Below are 22,317 nucleotides of genomic sequence, written 5' to 3' on the forward strand. Positions count from 1 at the left end.
GCAACGTGGAACCTAGCCTGCCTCTGAAAGCAAGGGAGGTGAAGGAAAGCAACTCTCAGGCAACAGCAGATGTTTCCAGAAGTGGGGTTTTGTTTTGCACTGAAAATTTAATCCAAGGGCACCAGATTTTTAAAACATGAATGAATCAAAATAGGAGAGTTTGGAAAAGGAGGGCACTTTTGAGATGTCCACACTTTGTTGCTAGCAGCTTTGTTACCTGTGGAGAGACGGTTCTGGGTCCATGGGTGGCTTTGCTCCTGTAGGTTTTTCTTGTTTCACAGTAATTGGCAGTAAAAGACTTTTCATATTCAAGTGTGATTGATCTAGCCTGGCTTAAAGAGATGATCAAATTCCTTGGCACACAGAAATGTTTAGCAGCCTTCTTCATATCCATTGCCATTGTGGTGCCTGATAAATCTGGTGCTAGTGAATAAGTACTCATTACTCAAAGAAGTGTAGAACAGATCCTGTGGAATTTCTTTTCAGGACTAGTAACAGTATAATTTTTGCTTGTACACAAATCAGGTTTTTTCCCCCCACCAGAATGCCAGGTTAAATTATTTCAAGTCTATAAAAATTGTTTGTTTTGGCCAGGCATGGTGGCTCACGCCTATAATCCCAGCACTTTAGGAGGCCTAGGTGGGTGAATCACGAGGTCAGGAGTTCGAGACCAGCCTGGCCTACATGATTGAAACCCCGTCTCTACTAAAAATATAAAAAATTAGCTGGGTGTGGTGGTGGGCGCCTGTAATCCCAGCTACTCGGGATGCTGAGGCAGGAAAATTGCTTGAACCTGGGAGGCGGAGGTTGCAGTGAGCCGAAATTGCGCCACTGACTCCAGCCCGGGTGACAGCACGAGACTCTCAAAAAAAAAAAAAATTGTTTTTGTACTCTGACTTCTGAAAAACACAGAAACTCAGTTTGGAGGCAGTGATGCCTTGTCAGGAATGTAGACTCTGGAAACAGATTCTTTAGATTTGTATCCCTCTACCTATAAGCTGTATGACCTTGGACAAGTCACTAAAACTCTCCAAGCATCAATTTCTTCATCTGTAAAATGGAAATACTAGTATCTAGCTCAAAGGACTAAGGGGAGATTGAGACTTTATGCTTGTGAAGGATACTATACACGTAAGCACAAAATAAATACTTGTTCTGGTTTCTAGGGATACATTAACATAATTTTAAAATAGGATTTCAGTCGTTGATGTTTTTAACATTCCCTGTGGATAGATCAAGGGCAAGTAGCCCACGGCTAGCCAGCATAGATGGGGAACCAGAAGAACGGGGGTGGTGGAGTTGCTGAGTTCCTAGAGCAGGAGAAGGCCATGGGTGAGAGTGGGAGCTCAGTTCAGACACACAGCTTCATTCTGGAATTCCTCACGTGGCTCACAGAAGAGTTTGCTTATGTGTGTGTCTAGATTTATGTTATTTGTGCTATGAAGTATATTTTGGGGTTCTGATTCATCAGTTTCCTAGGTCAGTGGCAATCTCTTTAAAACTGATAACTACTTTGGGAGGCCGAGGCGGGTGGATCATGAGGTCAGGAGATCGAGACCATCCTGGCTAACAAGGTGAAACCCCGTCTCTACTAAAAAAAAATACAAAAAATTAGCCGGGCGCGGTGGCGGGCGCCTGTAGTCCCAGCTACTCGGGAGGCTGAGGCAGGAGAATGGCGTGAACCCGGGAAGCGGAGCTTGCAGTGAGCCGAGATTGCGCCACTGCAGTCCGCAGTCCGGCCTGGGCGACAGAGCGAGACTCCGTCTCAAAAAAAAAAAAAAAAAAAAAAAAAAAAAAAAAAAAAACTGATAACTATGACAAGTTAGTAGTTTCCACCTTTTTTCGTCAAGGACTGGAACCTTTGCAGATTTAAGAAAACTGACATTTTCTTAAAAGTCAAGGAAATGTGCTAAACTGTAAATCATTGGGTGGATTACATAATTCTGAAGTTTATATCCTCTTGCTAGTTTTAAGTTAGTTGTAGGCACTTTGTAATATCGTTAATTTTAACTAACTTTTCTTGAATATGTTCTGTGTGCCAGACATATGTGCTAAGGATAGGAGATAACAGTTTTGTGAAGGACATAGACACAGAAAAAGAAAATTTTTCGTATAAGCAGTAGGTGCAGTGTTCAGGGTACACATAGCCTGTTTTGGGAGGTGTAAGAAAGGATATCTGGTCTTTACTGGATTTTCAAGAGTGCTCCATGCCTTGATGAAGACTCTTTTAGGCAGCACCTGTCCCAACTAAGAGTCCCTGCTAAGAAATGGAAAGTTCATTAGATCAGCTTCATTAATTATCAAAGAAATCTACATTAAAATAATAGACTTTAATAACATTTCTTTAGATATAGGGTGTCACTATGTTTGCCTAGGCTGGCCTTGAACTCCTGGCTTCAGGTGATCCTCCCACCTCAGCCTCTGTAGTAGCTGGGATTACAAGCATGTGCCCTGTTCTGTTTTTAAGGATGATTCCCAGTGTTGTTACATTAAAATTTGGTACAAATGTTGCTACTTTGGGGATTATACATTCAAACAGCACAGTTAGGTGTATTGAGATCCTTAAAAATGTTCATTTCTGAAAGCTTGGCAAGGTTATCTGGAAGGCTGAGGAGAGAGGATCACATGGGCTCAGGAGTTGAAGTTGTAGTGCACATTGATGATCACACCTGTGAACAGCTGCTGCACTCCAGCCTGGGCAACATAGTGAGACCTTGTCTCTAAAATAAATCAATAAATAATGAATGAATGAATGTCTGCTATGTAACATGCGCTATGCTAGGTACTGGAGATACAGCAGTAAGCACAACAGACACAGGCCCTGCACTCAGGGACCTTATAGTTCAATAAGAGATCATCTCTCTCTTTTTTTTTTTTTTTTGAGATGGAGTTTCACTCTTGTTGCCCAGGCTGGAGTGCAATGGCACGATCTCGGCTCACCGCAACCTCCGCCTCCCAGGTTCAAGCCATTCTCCTGCCTCAGCCTCCCTAGTAGCTAGGATTATAGGCATGTGCCACCACGCCCAGCTAATTTTGTAGTTTTAGTGGAGACGGGGTTTCTCCATGTTGGCCAGGCTGGTCTCGAACTCCCGACCTCAGGTGATCCGCCCGCCTCGGCCTCCCAAAGTGCTGGGACTATAAGCGTGAGCCACCGCGCCTGGCGAGATCATCTCTTTTTATGGACTAGATAGAGATGTACCCAAGCAGCAATTTCAATTTCATTGAAAAGACACCTCTGCCTCCCCTTGCTGTCATAACCATCCTTCTCCCTTGCTCCCTTTCCTCCCTCACCAAATAACAGATGTATGCCAGAAGAGGTGTGTGAGTGACAAATGAAAGTTATACTAAAACACTGTTTTTGTTTGTTTATAAATTTTTTATTTTTAAAAAATTAATTTCCACCTGAATCATAGATTCAAGTTGCCCTGAAGATATACTTCCTGAAACACTTTTTTTATGTTAGAAGAAATTTATTTTCCTTCCTTTTCTACTCTTTCTCCTTTGTGGACCTCCTTTGTGGCGGGCACAGTAGTGAATCTAACAGAACAGTATGCTGCTCTCATGAAGCTTACCCAGGTCTCTAGCAGAGTGGGACTGAGCAGATTTTCTTATGTTGTTCATAGATGTAAAACCATTACGTTTTGAAAATACAGCTCCTGTTAAACATCCAGACTTGATTGCAGTTGTCAAAATCCAGGCTCGCAGAGAGGCTGGCAGACACTTGGAATATTCTGCTAATGCCAGGGAATAGACTTTCCTGGGGAAACTCTGGGTAACCCTCATCCCAGCAGCTGCAGGTCATAGGAAGGAGGAGGAATGAAAATGTCCCCATGTGATGAGTAAGAGTAGGTAATAGTAGTGGCTTAAGTTCCCAGAGGAACAGTTTTCTTCCCACTCATGCTCAGGGTTCCCTTCAACTCTGATTAGAAAGCAGATCCTTTTAAAATCCTGGATTGCATCGCATGATTTCTTAGCCTCGAAGAAGTGGGCAGCAAAGGAAGAAGACAACCATCAAAGCAGTGACTGGTCAGAACAGCAGAAAATCATTAAATGGAAAAGTGACTCTGGGCCAGTTGAATCATGACCAGCTTGCTTTTGGAATTTCCTTGGCATATTTATTTTGGGGTCTGCTTGCTTTTTTGCAGAAAACTTGTTGCTTCTGCAGTTTGTATCAGAGAAATAGTGGAGTGGGGAGACGGTGGAAGTTAAAGTCAGTCTGGCTGAGAACCCGCATTTGGGTAATAGAAGTAGGGATGGGAATGAGAAAGACATAGAGAATATGTCTTTACATAGAGAATATGTCTTTATCATCAGTAGGTGGAGCTAATGAACATGGAGAGAGGCAGTGAAGTGCAGAAGTGAAGGGTCTGGACTCATGATCTTGATTGATTCACATCCTGGCTCTGTGAGAGTCGTTGGGCTGGATATTTAACCTCGCTGTGTCTCAGCTTTCTCATAAGGTAAAAGGGGCTCCTGCTAATGTCTCCCATGAGGATGATTGGTGCACAGAATGTGGTCAGTAAACACGAGCTCCTACTGTTGTTACTACTGCTATCATCACTGTAGTTATCTTTGTCATCTTTATTGTTACTAGGACTTAGCAATTGTTTGGACATGGGAAGTGATGGAGGCTTCTAGCCTGAGTAAAAGGGATAAAGGAAAGTATTGGAGGTAAGAAGAGGAATTGGTTTATGAGTGACAGTAAGTTCACTTCTCCATGAGTTGAGTTTGATGAGTTTAGGGTGTTTACATTGGAGTAGAAATCAATGCTATAGGTTTATGAGTCATCCTAAATAGAATTAGTAGTTGAAGCAATGGAAATGACCAAGGTCCATGATAGAGAGAAAATAGAAATAGTGGAGAGCCAAGCCGAGACTTGATTTCTCCTCATGACTGCAGCACGTAGTACAGTTGGTTCCCTGTACAGAACACAAAAACCGCCATGGTAATTAGTGCTGGGTGGTGGAAAACACCTCCTTTGAGCTATTCACCCAATCTTTTTTTTTTTGGAGACAGAGTCTCGCTCTGTCGCCCAGGCTGGAGTGCAGTGGTGCGATCTTGGCACACTGCAGCCTCTGCCTCCCAGGTTCAAGCAGTTCTCCTGCCTCAGCCTCCCAAGTAGCTGGGACTACAGGTGCCCACCATTACACCTGGCTAATTTTTGTATCTTTAGTAGAGACGGGGTTCTCACCATGTGGGCCAGGCTGATCTTGAACTCCTGACCTCAAGTAATCCACCCGCTTCGGCCTCCCAAAGTGCTGGGATTACAGGCATGAGGCACCGCGCCCGGCAACAATCTTTTCATTAGCTTCTTTCATAAACATCTTCATCTACATTTGTCTTCTTGGGAAGCCAGTGAATGGGTTTGACATTCTATGGGAACTGTATTAGTTCCCTAGGGCTGCCACAACAGATTACCAGAAACTGAGTGGCTTCAATGGACAGAAATCTGAAATCACGGTGTCAGCAGTGTTGGATCCTCTGGAGGCTCTGAGGCATTCCTCTGCTTGTAGAGATACCATTCCAGTCCCTGCCTTTGTCTCAAGATTCCTAAATCAATCTGCAAAGACCCTGTTTCCAAAAACAGTTATGTACTGGGGTTGCAGGTGGATTTTGATTTGGGGAAATGCCATTCACCCTATCACAGGAGCTAGTGTGCACTGCCCTGCACCACGGGAGCTGGCGTGGGCTACATTCTTAGTCCTGATGGCGGAAGAGCATGTCTGAATAGGCTAGTCCTTAAAAGAGTGGGCCTGTATGGCTGATTTTTGAAGGGCTTAACAGGCATGGATCAGCTACTTGCTGAGGTATGTGAGTGGGAGTTGATTGCTAACAGAATCCTTGATTTATTTTTCTTGTTTCAAAATTTATATTATTCCTATTAAAAATGGAATTTTTCATCATGTTTGGATTTTCTGTGTCATGGCTGCTGTTTTTCCTGGCCAAATTCTTCATCTACGAGGCAAGCTCTCCTGGAAGACTCTGTCCCTGAGTTTCTTATAGCAAGTTGAGTATGCTAAAAGCCAGACATAAAGACCACCTGCTTTCCAGGGGACTTGTCATCACCAGCAGCAGTGGGGGCATCACCCACCCCAGGGAGGAAAGGATGGTGTATAGAAGGGACCCCAAACTATGAGACAAGAGGCATGAGTTCTGGTCTTAGTTCAGACATTATAAGTTATCTGTGAGACCTTAGATAGATCTTGGTGCCTTTATGTGCTTATTTCTCTCCCACCCAGAATTAATCCTCAGTCTGGCTATTTCTTCACCTGAAGGCAGGATGGAAGTATATTTTTTCGTCATTCATTTTCTCAAGTATAAAGCAAATGGTTGATTTTTTTTTTTAATCTTTTTTTTAAAAAATCTTTTCTTTTTTTTTTGAGACAGAGTCTCGCTCTGTCGCCCAGGCTGGAGTGCAGTGGTGTGATCTTGGCTCACTGCAATCTGCACCTCCCAGGTTCAAGCAATTCTTGTGCCTCAGCCTCCCAATTAGCTGGGATTATAGGCGTGCACCACCACACTCAGCTCAGTTTTTTATTTTTAGTAGAGATGGAGTTTTCCCATGTTGGCCAAGCTGGTCTCGAACTCCAGACCTCAAGTGATCCACCCACCTCCGCCTCCCAAAGTGCTGGGATTACAGGCGTAAACCACTGCATCTGGCCCAAATGGTTGATTTCTTGATATTGTCTTATAATATGGTGGTAGACACTGGTGAGCAAGAATAAGAGTGAGCTTGCCGTCCAGGAGGTAACTGCTGTGACTGGGGAGGTGCAGGATGTGGTGGAGCACAGAGAAAGCAGTCTTCTAGACTAGCAGTGCGAGACCAGGCCCCTCCCTGCCCCCAGAAGAGGCATCTAAGCAGAGCACACTGAGGAGTTAAGCTGGGTGGAAGGAGTAAGTAACTGATGAGTAAGAGTTAAGCCAGGCAAGAGGAGGGGGAGAAGGGTGCCTCTGGCAGAGGGAGCAGTGTGTGGGCGAGAGGCAGGCATAGTCATGCAATGGAAGTGACTGATCCCAGACCATGAGGGAGAACCAGATGAGAATCAGGGCTGGAGAGGAGGATGAGGGCCAGATCATTTGGGGTCTTATAGGCCATTACATGGAGTTTGGGCAGTATCCACAGAGCAAGAGGAAGTCATAGAAGGGTTTTAAGCGGGAGTGACATGACTGAATTAAGAGACAGGGTCTTACTCTGTTGCCCTGGCTAGAAGTGTAGTGGCACAGTCAGAGCGCACTGCAACCTCAAATAAGTCCTAGGTTCGAGTGAACCTCCCACCTTAGCCTCCCGAGTAGTTGGAACTAAAGGCATGCACCGCCAGGCCTGGCTAATATATATTTTTTTAAGATACGGGGTCTCGCTATGTTGCCCAAGCTTGTCTCAAATCCTGGGTCCAAGCGATCTTCTTCCTCCTGCTTCTGCCTCCCAGAGCACTGGGATCACAGGTGTGAGCCACTGCACGCAGCCAAACTGTGTATTTTTAAAGTTGTCTTGACTTGAGTGTGGAAGCCGGGAGGGCTTTTAGGAGGCCTTTTCAGTAATCCAGTAGTGTTGGTGAAGATCAAACTGGATCATGGGATAGATTCACCAGGACCTTGATGAAAGAATGAATGAGAGGGAGGATGGGGTGACCACCAGGTCTGTGGCTTGGGCAGCTGAGTGGAAGGTAGCATCTTGCTGAAATCTGGAGCCAACGAGGACAGGTCATTGAGGGAGCATGTTTAGTTTTGAGTATGTCGAGCATGAAGTTGCTATGGAATATTTCCAAATAGATGTTTTCAGGAGGCAAAAAAGTTCTTAAACCTTGTGTTACCAACTAAACTCAGAGATACATGGCCATACTTAAGTCCATTAAAGATTCTCCTTGTTCTTCCATCTCTCAGTTGTTTCTAAGAGTCATTCATGTTTATCTCTCTTTCAATGTGACCGTAGACTGTAAGCTTCACCTTTCTGCATCTGTTTCCTCATCTAAAACGAAAAGGCAGAAGATGATCTTCCCAAGCTCTGTAGGCTTAAACCTTCATCAGACGCTCTGCAGTTCTTTCGTTTCAAAGGGATTACAGGGTGGAGTTGGAAGTTTCCAGTCCTTGTTTTTCAGAATCCAATTTGAGCTCTTCTGGTTGCATATTCTCATGCTAAGAAAAAAAGCCTATTCAGATGTATATTGTGAGCCCTCAACAACATTATCCTCAGAAGGTGCAAAAAAGAAAAGATGTAGCCAGATTGGTGCAATGGGAAAGGATTTGCCCTGCCTCTCAGGAGGGATGGATTAGGCCCAGACAAAAAAGCCCTGGCCTCTTGATCTGCCCTCTTTCTGCTTACTGGGGCCTGGCTCACTCTGGGTGGTCAAGAGCCTCTTTTGTCAAGAGGAATCTCACCCCCTCCCTAAACTCCAATTCATCCCAGTGGGCCTTGGGCAGCAATCTTTGTCTTCTTTTTTCAGCCTTCCATCCTGTAAAGTTTGAGCAGGATGGGCAGTGACTCAGGAAGGTGAAACCCATCAGGGCCTTGCCTGCTCCTTCAGTGGGGAGTCCTTGTGAAGGGCTTGTGCTGTGGAAAACCAGTCTCTCTAGCTTTTGTAATTTTCTCAAGCAACGAAAAAGCAAACAAACGCAAAAAGCTTATTCTGCTTTAATACCCATTTCCGTCAAAGGAGTGTATGTGTGTGTTAGGAGAGTGCTCAGGCTCATACTGGAAAGTTAGGTGTTGGTGAGGACTGCTTCAGGTGCGATCCTGACCTGGTCAGACCACGTATCTTTTGATGTTTATGGTAATTCCACATTCCTTCATGATGGGAGAAGGGAGACGGAGATGATAAGATGTATCAAGGGATTTATCAAGTGTAAGTTCACCTTTATCTCTTTTAGGCTTCTGCCTCACTAATACGTTACTACTACTCAGCAATTTTGAGTTTAGGGGATTTCAGACCAAATCCTCTTTTCTGCTGGGCTGGGTTTTGTGCAAATATCAATGGTGAATTGTCTCTAAGCATCAGTAAAGAACTAATGGGAAGTAATGCTTCAGGATAAAAACAGAGAAAAGTCTGGGAAACATAAATTCCAGCAGTCAGGCTGACACTGAAATCTGATTCCAGCTTATCTCTGTTGCTTATCTCTTTAGGATCAGATATCTTAAAGGACATACTCATTTCATTTTTAAAAGTTTCTAAAGGAAGGACCTACTGATCAGGTAACCACCTCTACCCACCCCACCCCAGTTAGCCAGGAAGATAAGGAAGGACCACTGACAGGCTGCAGGCCAAACACGTTCCCCCTGAGGGCTCTGCCATTTGGAATCAGTTGTATGTATCAGTTTTATGGTCTTCTGCTATCACAGTGGGAACAGACAAGCATGGGCCACAGTGTACTGAGGATTTAAAAGACTCAGAATGTCTTAAAATAGCCTGGTCGCTAAACAACAATAATAGTTTGGCATTCCTGAGAATGGTTGTTTGTTTAAAATTCAAGGCATTGGTTCTGGTAGCAGTTAGTTTCCACTAGCTGGGCTCCCACGTGAGTTACTCTGGAAATCACATGGTCTCATCACAACAGGAAGCACAGGGATCTATTAAGCCCCTCCCAGCCCCTCTGAGGGTGGTCCCTAAGCCTTGGGCTACAGGCACCTACACACCCTAGAACACAGTAGATGCTGTGGACCTGATCATTTTAAGGACTCTGGTGTTGTTGCTTTCACCCTGACTAATAATGATCAGTCCACTCTTAGGGGCTTATTTCTCCCACCTAGATGCACAGGCAGTCTGTCTTTCTATCACCAAGTCCTGAGGAGGTAGTTTTTACTGCCTTGTTGAGAGGAGAAGGGAGTCAGGAAGGCCAACCAGCAACAGTATGTTAAACCACATTGTTGGGGTCCCATCATATCTGAAAATGGGTACAAACTGCCCTCTGAACGTATCATCAGCAGTCAGCTCCTGACTCCCTACCATCCTGAGAGAAGCTCGTGCCATGCAAGCTGGCTGTGGGGAAGCCTCACACAGGTTCTGCTACTTTCTGGTTTCGCCATAGAGCAGTCCCACATCACACCGAGCAAAGCAGTTTTCTGTTGCTAGCCCCCTTTCTGTATTGAAGAGTTTCGGGGGATGGGAAGGATGCAGAGACACTGGGCCTGGAATGGCTCCTTAGATGGTAGGAAGGAATAAAGTGACTCTGTTGACCTTGCACTGTAGACTCAGGGAAAGTACTGAATGGCAGAGTTACTAATGACTTCTATCAAATCACCTTTTGCTGACTCCCGTGTTAGTCCTGGATAGCGTCCTTGGCACACTTGATTTCAGATTTTGACAGGTGATAAAAGCACATATTGAGATTGCTGCTTCACAGGGCCCAGATTCCTTGCTATTGACTGATGTTATTTTTGCCTTTCCTGAGAAGCTCCCTCATGTGTTTGCTGTTACTTTTAATGGATTGCTTCCTGATACATGGGAGGCCCAGGCACTTGCCCTTCAATCTGGCCAACTGCAGCCTGACCTGGGTGGAATTGGAGCTGCCTGAGGAACACTTAGACCAGGCACTTGGCAATATGACTCACTTTTTTCCCCTAAAAGTTAGTCTGTAAAGAGCAACTGGAAATGTTCCTGTTTACATCTTTGTGGAGTGTAATTTTAATCAGGATTCTCAAGGTTTTTCACTTCAATTCTCTGAATTTTTAAGATCTTAAATGCCCTGTGGTCACAGTATTTGGCCCTGTACTTCTGAGGGCTACGTGGAAAATGCTTGATGATCATTACTGACTTGTCAATAGTAATTATGCCAATAAACAGAAAAGTCTTCCAGTTCTGGTCTGTTGAGGCCCTGCCGTTAAGCCATGGTTTTCCCAAAGGCTCTGCAGTGGGTTCTCATGGGATGTCTTTCATTGGTTCTTTCTCTCCCTTTTCCTCAGAGGGTCGCATTTCCTGTTTTGTGCAGGAAATTCCCACTGTTTTGGGTTCCCCAGCTACAGTCGGAAAGACATCAGAGTGTTCAAGGCGGAGTCCAGGCCTGAGATCTCAGCAGGCCAGACAGGCAGCAGATGCTTGTTGCTTTTCTTGTGTTATATTTTTCGTTCCCTTACTTAGCATTTGTGGGACCAAAGCCAACAAACAACAGGTTGTTAAAAGAATGAGAGTAATTTGACTTCCGACAGTGATTGGGGCTCGGGGTTGTTGGGTGTTTTGTTTTCTGATTTGAAACTAGCTGTATGGTAACCACTAACTCTCGCCTTATTCTTTTCTTGCAGATGAGCTCACAGTGCCTGCACTTTACCCCAGTAGCCCTGAAGTGTGGGCCCCGTACCCTCTGTACCCAGCGGAGTTAGCGCCTGCTCTACCTCCTCCTGCTTTCACCTATCCCGCTTCACTGCATGCCCAGGTAATTGATACCCATCGGCCAGGACTTCACTCACTTCACCACCAGTCCTTTCAAACTTGGTTCCCGAGAGCACACCATACAACTAACACCTATCCAGCTAACAGATCCACCCTCAAGAGATTAATGATCCCCTCTAAATCAAGCTGACACTCCTTCAGGACTGACGAGGATCGTCTGACAGCAATGATATCACCCACTGCCTGATGTTTGCCCCAAATGACACCTCTCTCTTCCTTAATGATCTCACCTCATATCGCACATGAGAGACCGGGGCAGGTTTATCCACCTGGCTCCCAGCTAGCTAGAGGGCATCACCAGAGTGTATACGTGTGTGCCTTGTGTGGAAGGGCTGCAGAGGAAGGTGTGTGCTAGGAGAAGGGGATATGTGCGTCTGTGCGTGTTTCTGTGTGTTGAGAGTTTTCCACTCTCGTGTACGGTGAGAAGAATCTCTGACCAAAGGGAAAGCTTCCAGGGGGGAAGGCTGTACTTTCTTAAATATGTTACAGGAAAGATTAAGGGTTCCTTCTCTCCATTTTCAGGAAACCCTGTAGAAAAGGAGATACAAGATAGTGTCTAAGATGGAATTACAGGTCAAGGTAGAGATCTCTATTCTGACCAGCTTTCTTTCTTAGTTAAAAATAGCCTGATTTTTATAAACAAACTTCCTGTTTCTCCGCAAAGATTACTGTCTACATACTAACACTTCCTCTCCCCTTGGAGAAAATATTTCTCTTAGCTTCGCTTTTAGTGCAAGTGGTAGTAATCAGTGTAAAGATTCACCTCTGGAGATCACCACTCATTCTTTGGCCTGCAAAGATTGATGACCAGTAACAAATAGAAAGTACGTACGTAGGTTTCATTTGTCTTTCTGCATGTGTAATTCAGCCTTTAAATTTTAAATTTTTAAAAATTATTAGGCTGGACAGGCAGAGTTTTCGTTTGCCTGTTTTGCTCAGTGTTTGTTTACAAGGCTGGGTGAAATAAACAGCTTCCCAGAAAACCTCCTTCTGACTTAAAACTCTTTTATGTTGTACAGAATTCCCTGTCTTGATAAAGACCACCTAGAAGCAGCCCCCAGCGAGGGTTCTTGAAAGTCATGGGGTCGAGATTGTTGTTGGCTGAACATCTTTTAATTCTGAGTTACCAACACGTTGTGCGTGCATTGATGACCCGGCTTCCTGGCCTGCCCTTGGTGCCTGAGCCCCAGTAATGATTGCCCTCTATGTTGGGAGAAGAAGGGAGAAAGTAGTACAAGTAGTGAAGAAAAAAATGTAGGTGGTGTTGGTGGTTGAGAGTACATGGCACAGAAAATAAAGGAGCCAGGATTACCTGTGCCTTTGGCTTCTCCTTCCCCTGCTGCTTTTTCTTCCTTTTTCCATGTCAGTGCTTGGGAACCCTCACAACTGGCAGGTAACGGGGTCGGGATAAAATGTAAACCTGTGGGTGTCTTCTGCTGAGTCATTAGGATCTTTGTAGCAGGCTGCGGATAAATATGTGGATGACATGGGGCAACTAAGAGCCCCTTTTGCTTGCCACCTCCCACCCCTGCTCTGGATGGTGTCTCCTCTTGCTAGACTGCCGGGTACAGATCACGTGGCAATTAAGGCAAATGTTAATAAATACCATGAAACAGTGGTTTGCATAGTCTTCTGAATAGCCATGGCTTTGGTTAGTCAGCAACAAAGCCTTTCACCCTTACCCTGGATAATCAAGAGTTGACAACAGCCAGAAAGTACTGGGAATAGTGGCTTTTGGCCATGACATCTGCTCATTCTTCATTCATGTAATGGGTCAAATCAGAAGTAATTCTGGAGATACGGTATGGTAAGAGAAGGGCCTAAAGAGTCTCAAGAGATTAGAAAGCATATGCCATTGTAAGGAAGGATGGGGAGAGACAGTGCCAAGATTAAATGGACTCAGCCATTTGACTTAATGGGATGCACTGCCCATGGTGGCACCCTCCCCTGGGAGTTCTTCCTTGATCTTGAGACTTTCCCAAACTGGAATCCACTTAGCTCTGCCACATCGGTCCCAGATTTGGTGGGACTCTCCTCTGGTATCAGTTTTCAACGCCACTTCTTGTTTGGAGTCATTCCCAGTGCAGTCATGGACTCTATGAACAAATACGGTTATTTAAATGTATTTGTCCAGTATGAGAATCAGAATGAACTAGTAGAGGCTTTACAGATCAGCTGGTCTGACCCATTTTACAGATGAGGAAACAGGCCTGAGAAGATGGAGGGAGTTACCCACAATCTGAAGGGGCTCTACCATGACTAGACCCAGGTCACCTGCCTCCCAGGCCTGGCTCTTTCCACTCCGAGGTGCTGGCTCACCACAGACTTATTCTTTAATGGAATTTTGGAAAGGCCTCACTCCAGTGACTCTTTGGATCTTTCTTCTCTAAGTAGATGGGAAGCCTGTAAGAAGAGACTTGGAGGCAAAGCAAAGGGAATCAGCACTTAACCCTCACCCAAAGGGCCCAAGAGAATCTTTAGTAACTGGAGGCAGAGCAGACTGGAGCCTCTACGGGGCATCTCCCCATATTGGAGAATTCAGTCTTTGTTTTGGAAATCTTATAATGTCTTTGGAGAGGCTTTAAATAATTTTGTTTTTCTTAGCAATGTTATGCTCTATTTTGAGACATGGATTTTTTTTTTCTTCTAGTGTTTCTCTCCTGAGGCAAAGCCCAACACACCTGTCTTTTGTCCACTTCTCCAGCAAATTAGATTTGTCTCTGGGAATGTGTTTGTAACATACCAACCTACTGCAGACCAGCAGAGGGAGCTCCCATGTTGAATTTGTTTGTTAGCTATTTTCCCCCCTTTCACAAAAACTATTTCTTGACGACCTTTGAGAGATTTCAATAAAAATTTTAATCAGAGCAAAAATGAACTCAAGTAGACTGCAGCGTTTTGTTTTCATGGTGATGCAATTTTGGAGCAAAGGTGTTACTCTCTGACTGAGGTTTTGGGAGAATTGGGCCTGTGACACCAAGTCTATTTTACATAGAAGGACTCAGAACGAGCTTCCTGGAGAGGCCAGGTCCTGGAGCCGAGGCCACACTGCTGCTGCTTGTCTCTCCCTGGGCTCCCAGAAGAGCCACCAAGAGCTGCATGTTGGAAGCGTCTCATCCACCAGGAGACCTCACTTCAGCAGGGATGCTGCGTCTAGCTAGGGGAGCCCCTGTGAAACGTGTGGGTGCAGTGTGCAGTCTGCCCACCGGGATCCACAGGAAGGAAGACCAGGAGACAAAGTGTCATTGAAAAGAAGTTGAGTCACATTTCTAGCTCTGCCCCGGCTTCAGCTGTGGTCTGGTACCCCTTCAGATTTCCCAGCTCTAAAGTAAGGATACTTATTTGCCATCAGATCCCGTTTTTTAGAAATTATTGGATAAGGTAATAGGACTGAAAGCCTCAGTACTGACTTAATGTTTAGAGATCAAAGAGCGACCCTGTGCAGCAGACATCGGATTGCTAAGAAGATCATTAACATTTTTAAAAGTGATCATCCAGTTTACTTTCAAGGTCATTGGTATTTGAAATGTGTTAATTAGGAGAGGAAACTTTCATCTGTTGCTTTCAAAAAGCTTATACACTGAAGAGAGCACACAGCTGTTCTGTCACCTCACATTCACACACTTCCGCCTCTTAGGTTTGAGCTCATGTTCTGCTTTCAGTCTTGTTGTGATGGGCAGAGAGAAAGTCGTTAAAGTATACTGTCCTTACCACATTCTCGAAACACACCATACACCCTGTACTTCAGGCAGAGTCACAGTGTGGGGCCAGAAGCTTCTGTAGGTAAGTAGGACTGAGAGAGAAAGTCCTGGTTACCTAATTCCTTTTCAGAGGCCTCATTTGTCCAGAGTAACAGCAGTTCTATCGGATTTCTAATAGGGCTGCTGTACAGCTTACCTGGACATAAACCAAAGGTTTTAAAATTATAACAGACTGCCTGAGGACAAGGCATGCGTGTCCCTTGGGATGGCTCTGTGACACACTGGAAAAATTTTAAAGGTTAAACCCAAAATAAATACAGAAGTGGACCATGGGAAGAGAGACATAGGCTAACCAGGAAGGGAGCTCACAGAGGAGTAGATGGGCCTGGGAGTAGTGGGTGGACTACCTGAACTGCAGGGCTGTCCCCACCTCCCCTGTATCTGAGCAGTTGCTCATCAGCAGGGTGGGACTTCTGAAAACTAGATTTAAAAAAAAGCAAATCGTATTAAGCATCTGCATCACTATGCCCTGTAGGAAATAACTGAGAAAAAAGACACAAGGACTTCTGCTTTGGTGTCGGGTATGTTTTGAATACATAGAGTGTTGGGGGGTGTCTCGAGGGCAGTGCTGGGTATGGACCTCAGTGCGCACACAGCTCCTTAGGAGTCGCCCAGCAGCGAGACAGCTGTGGATCCCCTCCAGGCGCATGGGAGGCTCACAAGGCAAGGACTCTGATGGTTTTGGCTTCCACCTCCTGTACGGTGGCCAGTGCTGTGAGGGTGGTTGGTCCCACAGGGAAACCTGTGAACAGAGTCATGTCTGGGGCCCCAGGGACATGGCTTCAACCCCTCACCTGGCAGTCCTGCCTCCCAAAAGTAAGGCAGGAGTCCGGAGATTCCCATTGCTTGCTTCTGTGAATCTCAGGTCACTTTAGCACTTGACCCCTGACCCCAGACTGCCTTGTCCTTGAGGCCTGGGATTCCTAAGGTATATACTGTCTGCTCCAGAGCTGTGGCTGTGGCTATCCGGAAAACGACAGCTTTGAAGGACTGCAGAGCTTGCCTTTGGGGCTGTTCTGCCCAAGGCCTTCCATTGTTTTCAGACATAAATGAAATTGTTAATCCTCTGACATTTACCTTTTCCTCTCAACCTGCAGCTCTGTGAAGGTCAGACTGTGAGGAGAAGCCACCCCTTGAGCGCTCCGTCTCCTGATAGTGCCAGCCTGGCCTGGTTTCCTGTTTGGTGAGGCTTTCTAGGAGCACCTGGCTTAGCTCTCACAGGAGGAGGGGCGGACGGGGAGGCCAGGCCTCATGCTCACAGCGCCAGCCTCCTGTGAGAGTGGGCTGGGTCTCCTTTCCTTTCCCAGGCCCTTCCTGGAGGCGATTTCTTTCTTTCTTTCTTTCTTTCCTTTTCTTTTCTTTTCTTTTCTTCTCTCTCTCTCTCTCTCTCTCTCCCCTCTCTCCTCTCTCTCTCTCTCTCTCTCTTTTCTTTCTTTTCTTTCTTTTCTTTCTTCTTTTTTTTTTCTGAGGCAGAGTCTCGCTCTGTCGCCCAGGCTGGAGTGCAGTGGTGTGATCTCGGCTCACTGCAAGCTCCGCCTCCCGGGTTCATGCCATTCTCCTGCCTCAGCCTCCCAAGTAGCTGGGACTACAGGCGCCTGTCACCACGCCTGGCTCATTTTTTGTATTTTTAGTAGAGACGGGGTTTCACTGTGTTAGCCAGGATGGTCTCGATCTCATGACCTTATGATCTGCCCGCCTTGGCCTCCCAAAGTGCTGGGATTACAAGCGCCTGGGGGCGATTTCTATGCCTGCCTCCTGATGCAGGGCCTGTGCTCTGAGCTGCGCCTTTCAGGAGAGCTCTGCGGGGCTTCATTTCCTTTCTAAGCTCATGGCAAGAAATGTAGGGTGGAAAAGACAGGCTCTGGAACTCCCTGGCCACACAGGAGCTCTGCCATTTACACGCTGTGCGACCTCAATTGAGCAAGTTTCTTAACCTCTCTGGGCTTCAGGAAAAGGGCCAATAATCCTTCACATAAACACTTAAGAGAATGCCCGGCATATTAGAAGGGCTTCATGTTTGCTTTAAAGGTAGCCCTTCCCAAGGATCTTTTAAGGGGCACTTGAATTTTCAGTAAGGAGAAGGAAGCCCAGGACTAAGCCTAAGCTACCCACAAGGCCGTGACAGTTAAGACACAGGATGGCCAGCACATGTGGATGACACTAACAGGGGCTGCTAGAGACCTCACGGCTGGAGCCAAATGGAAGACTGGAAAGCATGAATGAATGACGGGAGTAAGATGAGGCATTGCAGTGAGAGCACCACCCACAGCACCGATTGACAGCACCTGCCCTGCTCCTGGCAGTGTGATCTTCACAGCTTACGCCAGCACTGGGAGAGCTTATCCAAAAGAGGGGCCTCCCCAAACCAGGCTGGACACGGCCACCGGAACCCCCTTCTGACAGGAAATACATCCGGGGTGGAGGGGGCTGGGCAGCTGAATCCCAGCGACGGAATGGCCCTTGCCCTCACGAGTTACTTTACACAAACCCGCTGTCCCTGACCTTTCCAGCTGCAGCCTTATCTCACTTTCCTATCGGAGAAACTGGAGAAAGAATCACAGGTCACCCAGCCCATTCCTCCCTGGACTTTCTGGCACTTTCTTCCCACAGTCCTTCTGCTAGTATTCTCCTCAGCCTCATTTCCAGGCAATGGAGTTACAGCTTGTACTTGGGGATATTGCTCTCTTCACAGTTCTGCCAGGAAACCCGAGAATCTGCCCCCGGCCAGGCAGATGCTCTCTCCCTGGTGACCCTCTCCACCTCTTCCGTCATTTGCAGTGAGAGAGACATCAGCATTTTGTCCTTCACCCTCTTTAGAAGCAGTCCTCCAAAACCATCCGTCCAGGGTGTTAGGGAGACGTGTTCTTTTGTCCAGAACTGCTGCTGCTACTGAGGCCCAGGCCTCTCCATGTTGGGCAGTTTTAGGAGGAAATGCCGTTCAGAAACCAGAGTCGGTCCCCTAGTGTATGGCTGTGTGGCTTTGGCCAGGGTCACTCACCCCAAGGAGACTTCCGTAGAAATCACAGTATTATTCAGGATTGCCAGAACATCTCAACGTGGGCCTCCTCCTGACTGGGGGCACCATTACTCTCCATTACTCCATTACTCTCCATTTGGTACACTGTTTTCCAGGTTTCTAAGTGTGTTCCATGTTGTCCTTTGCGGAAGGTTAAACTCCCCAGATCCTACGCGCCTTCTCCCCTGTCCTTAATAGTAGTAAGAGCCCAACCCTGAGTCCCAACAAGTCGCACCTGGAAGTGCCGTCTGCGCTCGGCTCTTCCCTGGGATTAACAACCGCGTGGCCCAACTGTCACAGTCGGGTGCTGCTGAGCGCCTGGCACCTAACTGGGACTCAGTTTTTTAAATCAAACAAACCTGATTTTAATGACAGTTTCTACCCACTCTGCTAAATTTGGGATCCTAGGCAAGTTGGTTTTTAACTGCACGGAGCCTCAGTTTCCTCATCTATAAATGGGAAGAATGAACATCTCCATGGGTTTATTTTGCAGAAAACAGTAAGATGTTTGGCTTAAAGTCATAGTTATGATTAAAATAGTTCTTCCAATGCCTTCCCTTTGTCAGGATTCGATCTGGTGTGGCCCAGAGGCTCCTGAGCCCTCCCTGTAAGCTTGAGAAGCACTTAGGACACAGGGACTCCTGACCAGCACCCTGATAAGAGAAACCTAAGGGCCTGGGCTTTTTGCTTTGGTAAAGAAGAGAAACACCAGAGCCAGGGTGAGAATGGTCCGTGGCTGTGGCGTATACCGAGAGGAGGCCGTCTGGTTGGGTCAGCTGGGTGTGTACCCAAGGTTTTTTTCTTCTGTAGGCATAGGCACCCAGATGCCGTCCGGAAAGTATGTGAACTCTAACTGCTTTGGAAACAAAACCAAGGCCACAGAGAAACTTTGGAATTATAAAATGTAGCCTTCATAAAAGGGGAGAGTGAACTTTTCTGTGAAGAAAACCAATTGTGACAGTAGGGGTAAAGGAAAATCAACTCCAAATGGAATCATGTTTTATTCAGGATTTGTGCTGCCGGTGGGGAAGGCCAGACCCAGCGACAGGATGGGAAAGTGGGACACCCCAACTTCAAGCTTTGTGCGTTCTGCCACGAAGTTCTATGCGCTTCACTGAGCTCAGCTCCTGGGGACCTCTAATGGCCCTTGATAGCAAACATAGTTAAAAATTAACAGACTGACAGAATTAAATATGGATGACAAGCAACCACTGTGGACTTAATCTGACACAGGGTGTTACATGCTTGGGTGCTTTTAACCCAAGTGGCATCTCAAGTGAACTTCTGAGATGTCTGGGCACATTTCACATGCCTGTTTGGAAGCAGGGCTTAGCTTGTGCTTAGGACAGACAGGAAAAGAGTCTAAGAGCCCAGGAGAGAAAATTCTCCCTGGAGGCTTTTGTTTCATTAAACCCAGCTTTGATCAGGCTTACCAGGATGTACTCACAGTCCTAGGACCTTGTCCTTGTGGTCTAGACCTTGTCCCTGCCTGGGCTCGGACCTCAGTAGCACCTGCCATCGTGACTGGAAGATCCGGCAAGAGCACAAGGCCAGCGGGGAGCATGGCCTCCTCCAGCTAGGACTTTCTTGCTCACCTCTTTTCCAGCTGTTGGGGCAGGTGAGATGGCAGCCTTAACCAAGGACCAAGTCATACAAATCTTGACATTCTGCCTAGATCATAGCGACTTAATTGCCCTAGGCAAGGACTATTAGGTGCCAGACAGGTAGTGAAGAATGCTGATGGCGTTTTCATGCCTGAGTCTGCTGAGAAAGAGTATAGGCTGCCGATTCTGGGGGGCAGGGAGAAGAGGAGTGGTTCCTTTACAAGAGGGCCTCATTTCATGCAGCAGCGAAATTCCCAAAAAGTGTTCTTCCAGTTTTGGTGAGTGCTTTTTTAGAAATGGAGGTGAGGGTTGCTGTTTAAAAGAATCTTGCAATCAGCGCTGTAAGGAAGACAATCTTTTTGTATTGCACATCATCCCTCCAGCCTATTCGATGAGTTTGGAGTTTCTTGGACCAGATTATGCTGGGCTTGGCAGCCTCTCTTCAGCCTGGCAGTCTCTGACAGAGCTTGCTGTAATGGCCTAACGTGCTTTATTTGGTGATGCCACCCAAAAGTGGATCCTGAGGTCTGGAGCGAGTAGGGCAGAGCTGATGGTAGGTAGTCACTGTGTGAGTGGTTCCCTGCAGTTGCTCAGTGTTGGGAACGAGCCCCACAGCGAACTTCAGCGCTCCATTCTAGGGAGAGTCATGGAAACCTGCCTGAGAATATCCATGCCTTCAAAACATTAACCCATTAGTTTGAGATAACATTCTTGTCATTTACATAAAACAACTTGTTCAAGCTACTGTGGGTTTTGTTTTGTTTTGTCTTTTGTTGAGGAAGTCTCCCTCTGTCACCAGGCTGGCATGCAGTGGCGCCATCTCAGCTCACTGCAACCTCCACCTCCCAGGTTCACGCAATCCTCCTGCCTCAGCCTCCTGAGTAGCTGGGACTACAGGCGCACACCACCACACCCAGCTAATTTTTTGTATTTTTAGTAGAGATGGGGTTTCACCATAATAGCCAGGATGGTCTCTATCTCTTGACCTCATGATCCACCCGCCTCAGCCTCCCGAAGTGCTGGGATTACAGGCATGAGCCACGGCGCCCTGCCCAAGCTACTGTTATTAACTATTTTGTTCAAAGAGGGATAGCTGACTTCTGAATGTGGTGCAGGGGAAACCTGCATTCAGGTACAGCATCTGCACTAGGGAAGGTGAGAGAAAATCTGTAGCTGCTCCATGTACATGAGACATCAGAGCACTAGCCGGTTTGGTGGTCTGTCTTCCAGCTCGAAGCATGCAAATGGCACAGCCCAGCCTCTTAGATCCACCAAATGCTACCACTGGAAGGGACCTTCCAGACCAGCATTTCTCAACACCCACAGGGATTCACAGCTGTTCCATAATCCAGAGATCCTGCAGTCAGATAAACTTGGGCAGCACAGGTCTAGATCAAGTCAAACAGGTTTCTTTATTTTGGAACTTCTTGGAGCCATTACTGTGCCCACACATATCAAGAAACTGCTGAAGGGACCAAATTGTGCATTTCTCTCTAATGTCCTTGACATTAGAGCATTTCTAGACCAGTGTTCTTCCAGCCATACTTTTCGAAACCTTAATTAAAAGCAGCATCTCTCAGACTTGACCATGTGCCTGGTGATCACCTGGGGGGCTGGTTACAGTGTCGTTTATTGGATGCCTCTCCCAGAGTTTTGGCATTTCTGACAAGTTCCCAGGTGATGCCGTTGGTCCAGGAACCTGAGAACCACTGGTCTAGGCTTACCCCTTCATTCCCCAGAGAAGAAAACAGTCCAACCAGAGAGTATTTGCTTTCAGTAGTGACTATTAATTGAGCCAGTCACCTGCTAAGCACTTTTCGTGACTCTTTCTAAGGGCAAGTATGATAGTGGGATTCAGCCCCTAGAAAGGGGATAGCGCAATGCAAATCATTACTGTAGAGTTTTACCCTGTGCCAGTCACTCACCACTGCAGAAGGGTTGGTACTTCAGGCAGGGCGTCCTCCCGAGACTAGTCAAGGTCTTCCTGTCCTTGGCATCAGTATTAGGAACATAAATTCTGTCTGTATTTAATCCTCTGGGCCTTCATTTTTCATCTATAAATGGAAGAGGATGGAAATTATTTTTATGGGTGGGTACCGCTTTCTCTAGCATTCCATTTGATTTTTACTCTGAGTTGCTTCTTTTTCTGGGTATCTTGGTGCTCTCCTGTTGTCCAATCTGTCACCATGCTGAGTGCTGGAGACTTACAGTGTTAGCCATGCAGGGGCACTGCATTTTCAGAGCATTCCTGAAGAAGAGGGATGGTAGAATCCCAAACAGTGTGGCCCTGGGTAGTGAACTGTAACATGGTAATAACTTACCACTATTGTTAAGTTCTAGTGGAGAAGATTCCCAGGGTCGTCCACGTTGCCTTAGATGTCACAGGCTGTGTGAAGTGCTTAGCGCGGTCTCTGACGCAGACTAAATGTCAGGGTCAGTTTGGTTAAGTATATTGTGTTAAAGTTTCTCACAGGGTCTTGAGAAGCCCCTGGAATTGTGTGCAAGACTGTGAGTGTGCACATTTGAGAGAGAGAACTATGGGAGAAGAGAGAGAGGGT

At 46.4% G+C, this 22,317-nt stretch overlaps 1 protein-coding gene across 23 annotated transcripts in view, besides 11 other annotated features; it reads left to right on the forward strand.

The window, feature by feature from the left end:
* RBPMS (RNA binding protein, mRNA processing factor) overlaps positions 1-22,317 on the forward strand; it is a 187,716-nt gene that overhangs the window by 148,723 nt on the left and 16,676 nt on the right. For 10 of the 23 annotated variants that reach the window (XM_017012981.3, NM_006867.4, NM_001008710.3 and 7 more), the window contains one exon: positions 11,231-11,361. The exons of 4 other annotated variants lie outside the window; for them this stretch is intronic. In XM_017012981.3, the coding sequence (XP_016868470.1) occupies positions 11,231-11,361 (131 nt within the window). Of the gene's footprint in view, positions 1-11,230; positions 12,366-12,397; positions 14,257-16,236; positions 16,323-22,317 lie in introns of those variants that run through there. 9 more of the 23 variants (NM_001008712.3, NM_001438566.1, XM_024447055.2 and 6 more) reach the window with 6 other exon arrangements.
* Positions 5,363-6,074: an enhancer, noted in NCBI's record as "H3K27ac-H3K4me1 hESC enhancer chr8:30396143-30396854 (GRCh37/hg19 assembly coordinates)". NCBI's record gives its function as "activates a minimal SCP1, AML or CMV promoter by ChIP-STARR-seq in naive H9 embryonic stem cells {active_cell/tissue: H9 hESC(naive)}" and the evidence as "EXISTENCE:reporter gene assay evidence [ECO:0000049][PMID:30033119]".
* Positions 6,082-6,690: an enhancer, noted in NCBI's record as "NANOG-H3K27ac-H3K4me1 hESC enhancer chr8:30396862-30397470 (GRCh37/hg19 assembly coordinates)". NCBI's record gives its function as "activates a minimal SCP1, AML or CMV promoter by ChIP-STARR-seq in naive H9 embryonic stem cells {active_cell/tissue: H9 hESC(naive)}" and the evidence as "EXISTENCE:reporter gene assay evidence [ECO:0000049][PMID:30033119]".
* Positions 6,691-7,299: an enhancer, noted in NCBI's record as "NANOG-H3K27ac-H3K4me1 hESC enhancer chr8:30397471-30398079 (GRCh37/hg19 assembly coordinates)". NCBI's record gives its function as "activates a minimal SCP1, AML or CMV promoter by ChIP-STARR-seq in naive H9 embryonic stem cells {active_cell/tissue: H9 hESC(naive)}" and the evidence as "EXISTENCE:reporter gene assay evidence [ECO:0000049][PMID:30033119]".
* Positions 7,300-7,908: an enhancer, noted in NCBI's record as "NANOG-H3K27ac-H3K4me1 hESC enhancer chr8:30398080-30398688 (GRCh37/hg19 assembly coordinates)". NCBI's record gives its function as "activates a minimal SCP1, AML or CMV promoter by ChIP-STARR-seq in primed H9 embryonic stem cells {active_cell/tissue: H9 hESC(primed)}" and the evidence as "EXISTENCE:reporter gene assay evidence [ECO:0000049][PMID:30033119]".
* Positions 7,909-8,516: an enhancer, noted in NCBI's record as "OCT4-NANOG-H3K27ac hESC enhancer chr8:30398689-30399296 (GRCh37/hg19 assembly coordinates)". NCBI's record gives its function as "activates a minimal SCP1, AML or CMV promoter by ChIP-STARR-seq in naive and primed H9 embryonic stem cells {active_cell/tissue: H9 hESC(naive and primed)}" and the evidence as "EXISTENCE:reporter gene assay evidence [ECO:0000049][PMID:30033119]".
* Positions 8,517-9,126: an enhancer, noted in NCBI's record as "OCT4-NANOG-H3K27ac hESC enhancer chr8:30399297-30399906 (GRCh37/hg19 assembly coordinates)". NCBI's record gives its function as "activates a minimal SCP1, AML or CMV promoter by ChIP-STARR-seq in primed H9 embryonic stem cells {active_cell/tissue: H9 hESC(primed)}" and the evidence as "EXISTENCE:reporter gene assay evidence [ECO:0000049][PMID:30033119]".
* Positions 9,735-10,342: an enhancer, noted in NCBI's record as "H3K27ac-H3K4me1 hESC enhancer chr8:30400515-30401122 (GRCh37/hg19 assembly coordinates)". NCBI's record gives its function as "activates a minimal SCP1, AML or CMV promoter by ChIP-STARR-seq in primed H9 embryonic stem cells {active_cell/tissue: H9 hESC(primed)}" and the evidence as "EXISTENCE:reporter gene assay evidence [ECO:0000049][PMID:30033119]".
* Positions 10,343-10,950: an enhancer, noted in NCBI's record as "H3K27ac-H3K4me1 hESC enhancer chr8:30401123-30401730 (GRCh37/hg19 assembly coordinates)". NCBI's record gives its function as "activates a minimal SCP1, AML or CMV promoter by ChIP-STARR-seq in primed H9 embryonic stem cells {active_cell/tissue: H9 hESC(primed)}" and the evidence as "EXISTENCE:reporter gene assay evidence [ECO:0000049][PMID:30033119]".
* Positions 15,222-15,281: an enhancer, noted in NCBI's record as "active region_27212". NCBI's record gives its function as "activates an Ori minimal core promoter by ATAC-STARR-seq in GM12878 lymphoblastoid cells {active_cell/tissue: GM12878}" and the evidence as "EXISTENCE:reporter gene assay evidence [ECO:0000049][PMID:35858748]".
* Positions 15,945-16,604: an enhancer, noted in NCBI's record as "H3K27ac-H3K4me1 hESC enhancer chr8:30406725-30407384 (GRCh37/hg19 assembly coordinates)". NCBI's record gives its function as "activates a minimal SCP1, AML or CMV promoter by ChIP-STARR-seq in primed H9 embryonic stem cells {active_cell/tissue: H9 hESC(primed)}" and the evidence as "EXISTENCE:reporter gene assay evidence [ECO:0000049][PMID:30033119]".
* Positions 17,429-17,723: an enhancer, noted in NCBI's record as "tiled region #2547; HepG2 Activating DNase matched - State 5:Enh, and K562 Activating non-DNase unmatched - State 7:EnhWF". NCBI's record gives its function as "activates a minimal TATA promoter and a strong SV40 promoter by Sharpr-MPRA in HepG2 and K562 cells {active_cell/tissue: HepG2 | K562}" and the evidence as "EXISTENCE:reporter gene assay evidence [ECO:0000049][PMID:27701403]".

This window comes from Homo sapiens, chromosome 8, assembly GCF_000001405.40.
Source record: "Homo sapiens chromosome 8, GRCh38.p14 Primary Assembly".
NCBI lineage: Eukaryota > Metazoa > Chordata > Mammalia > Primates > Hominidae > Homo > Homo sapiens.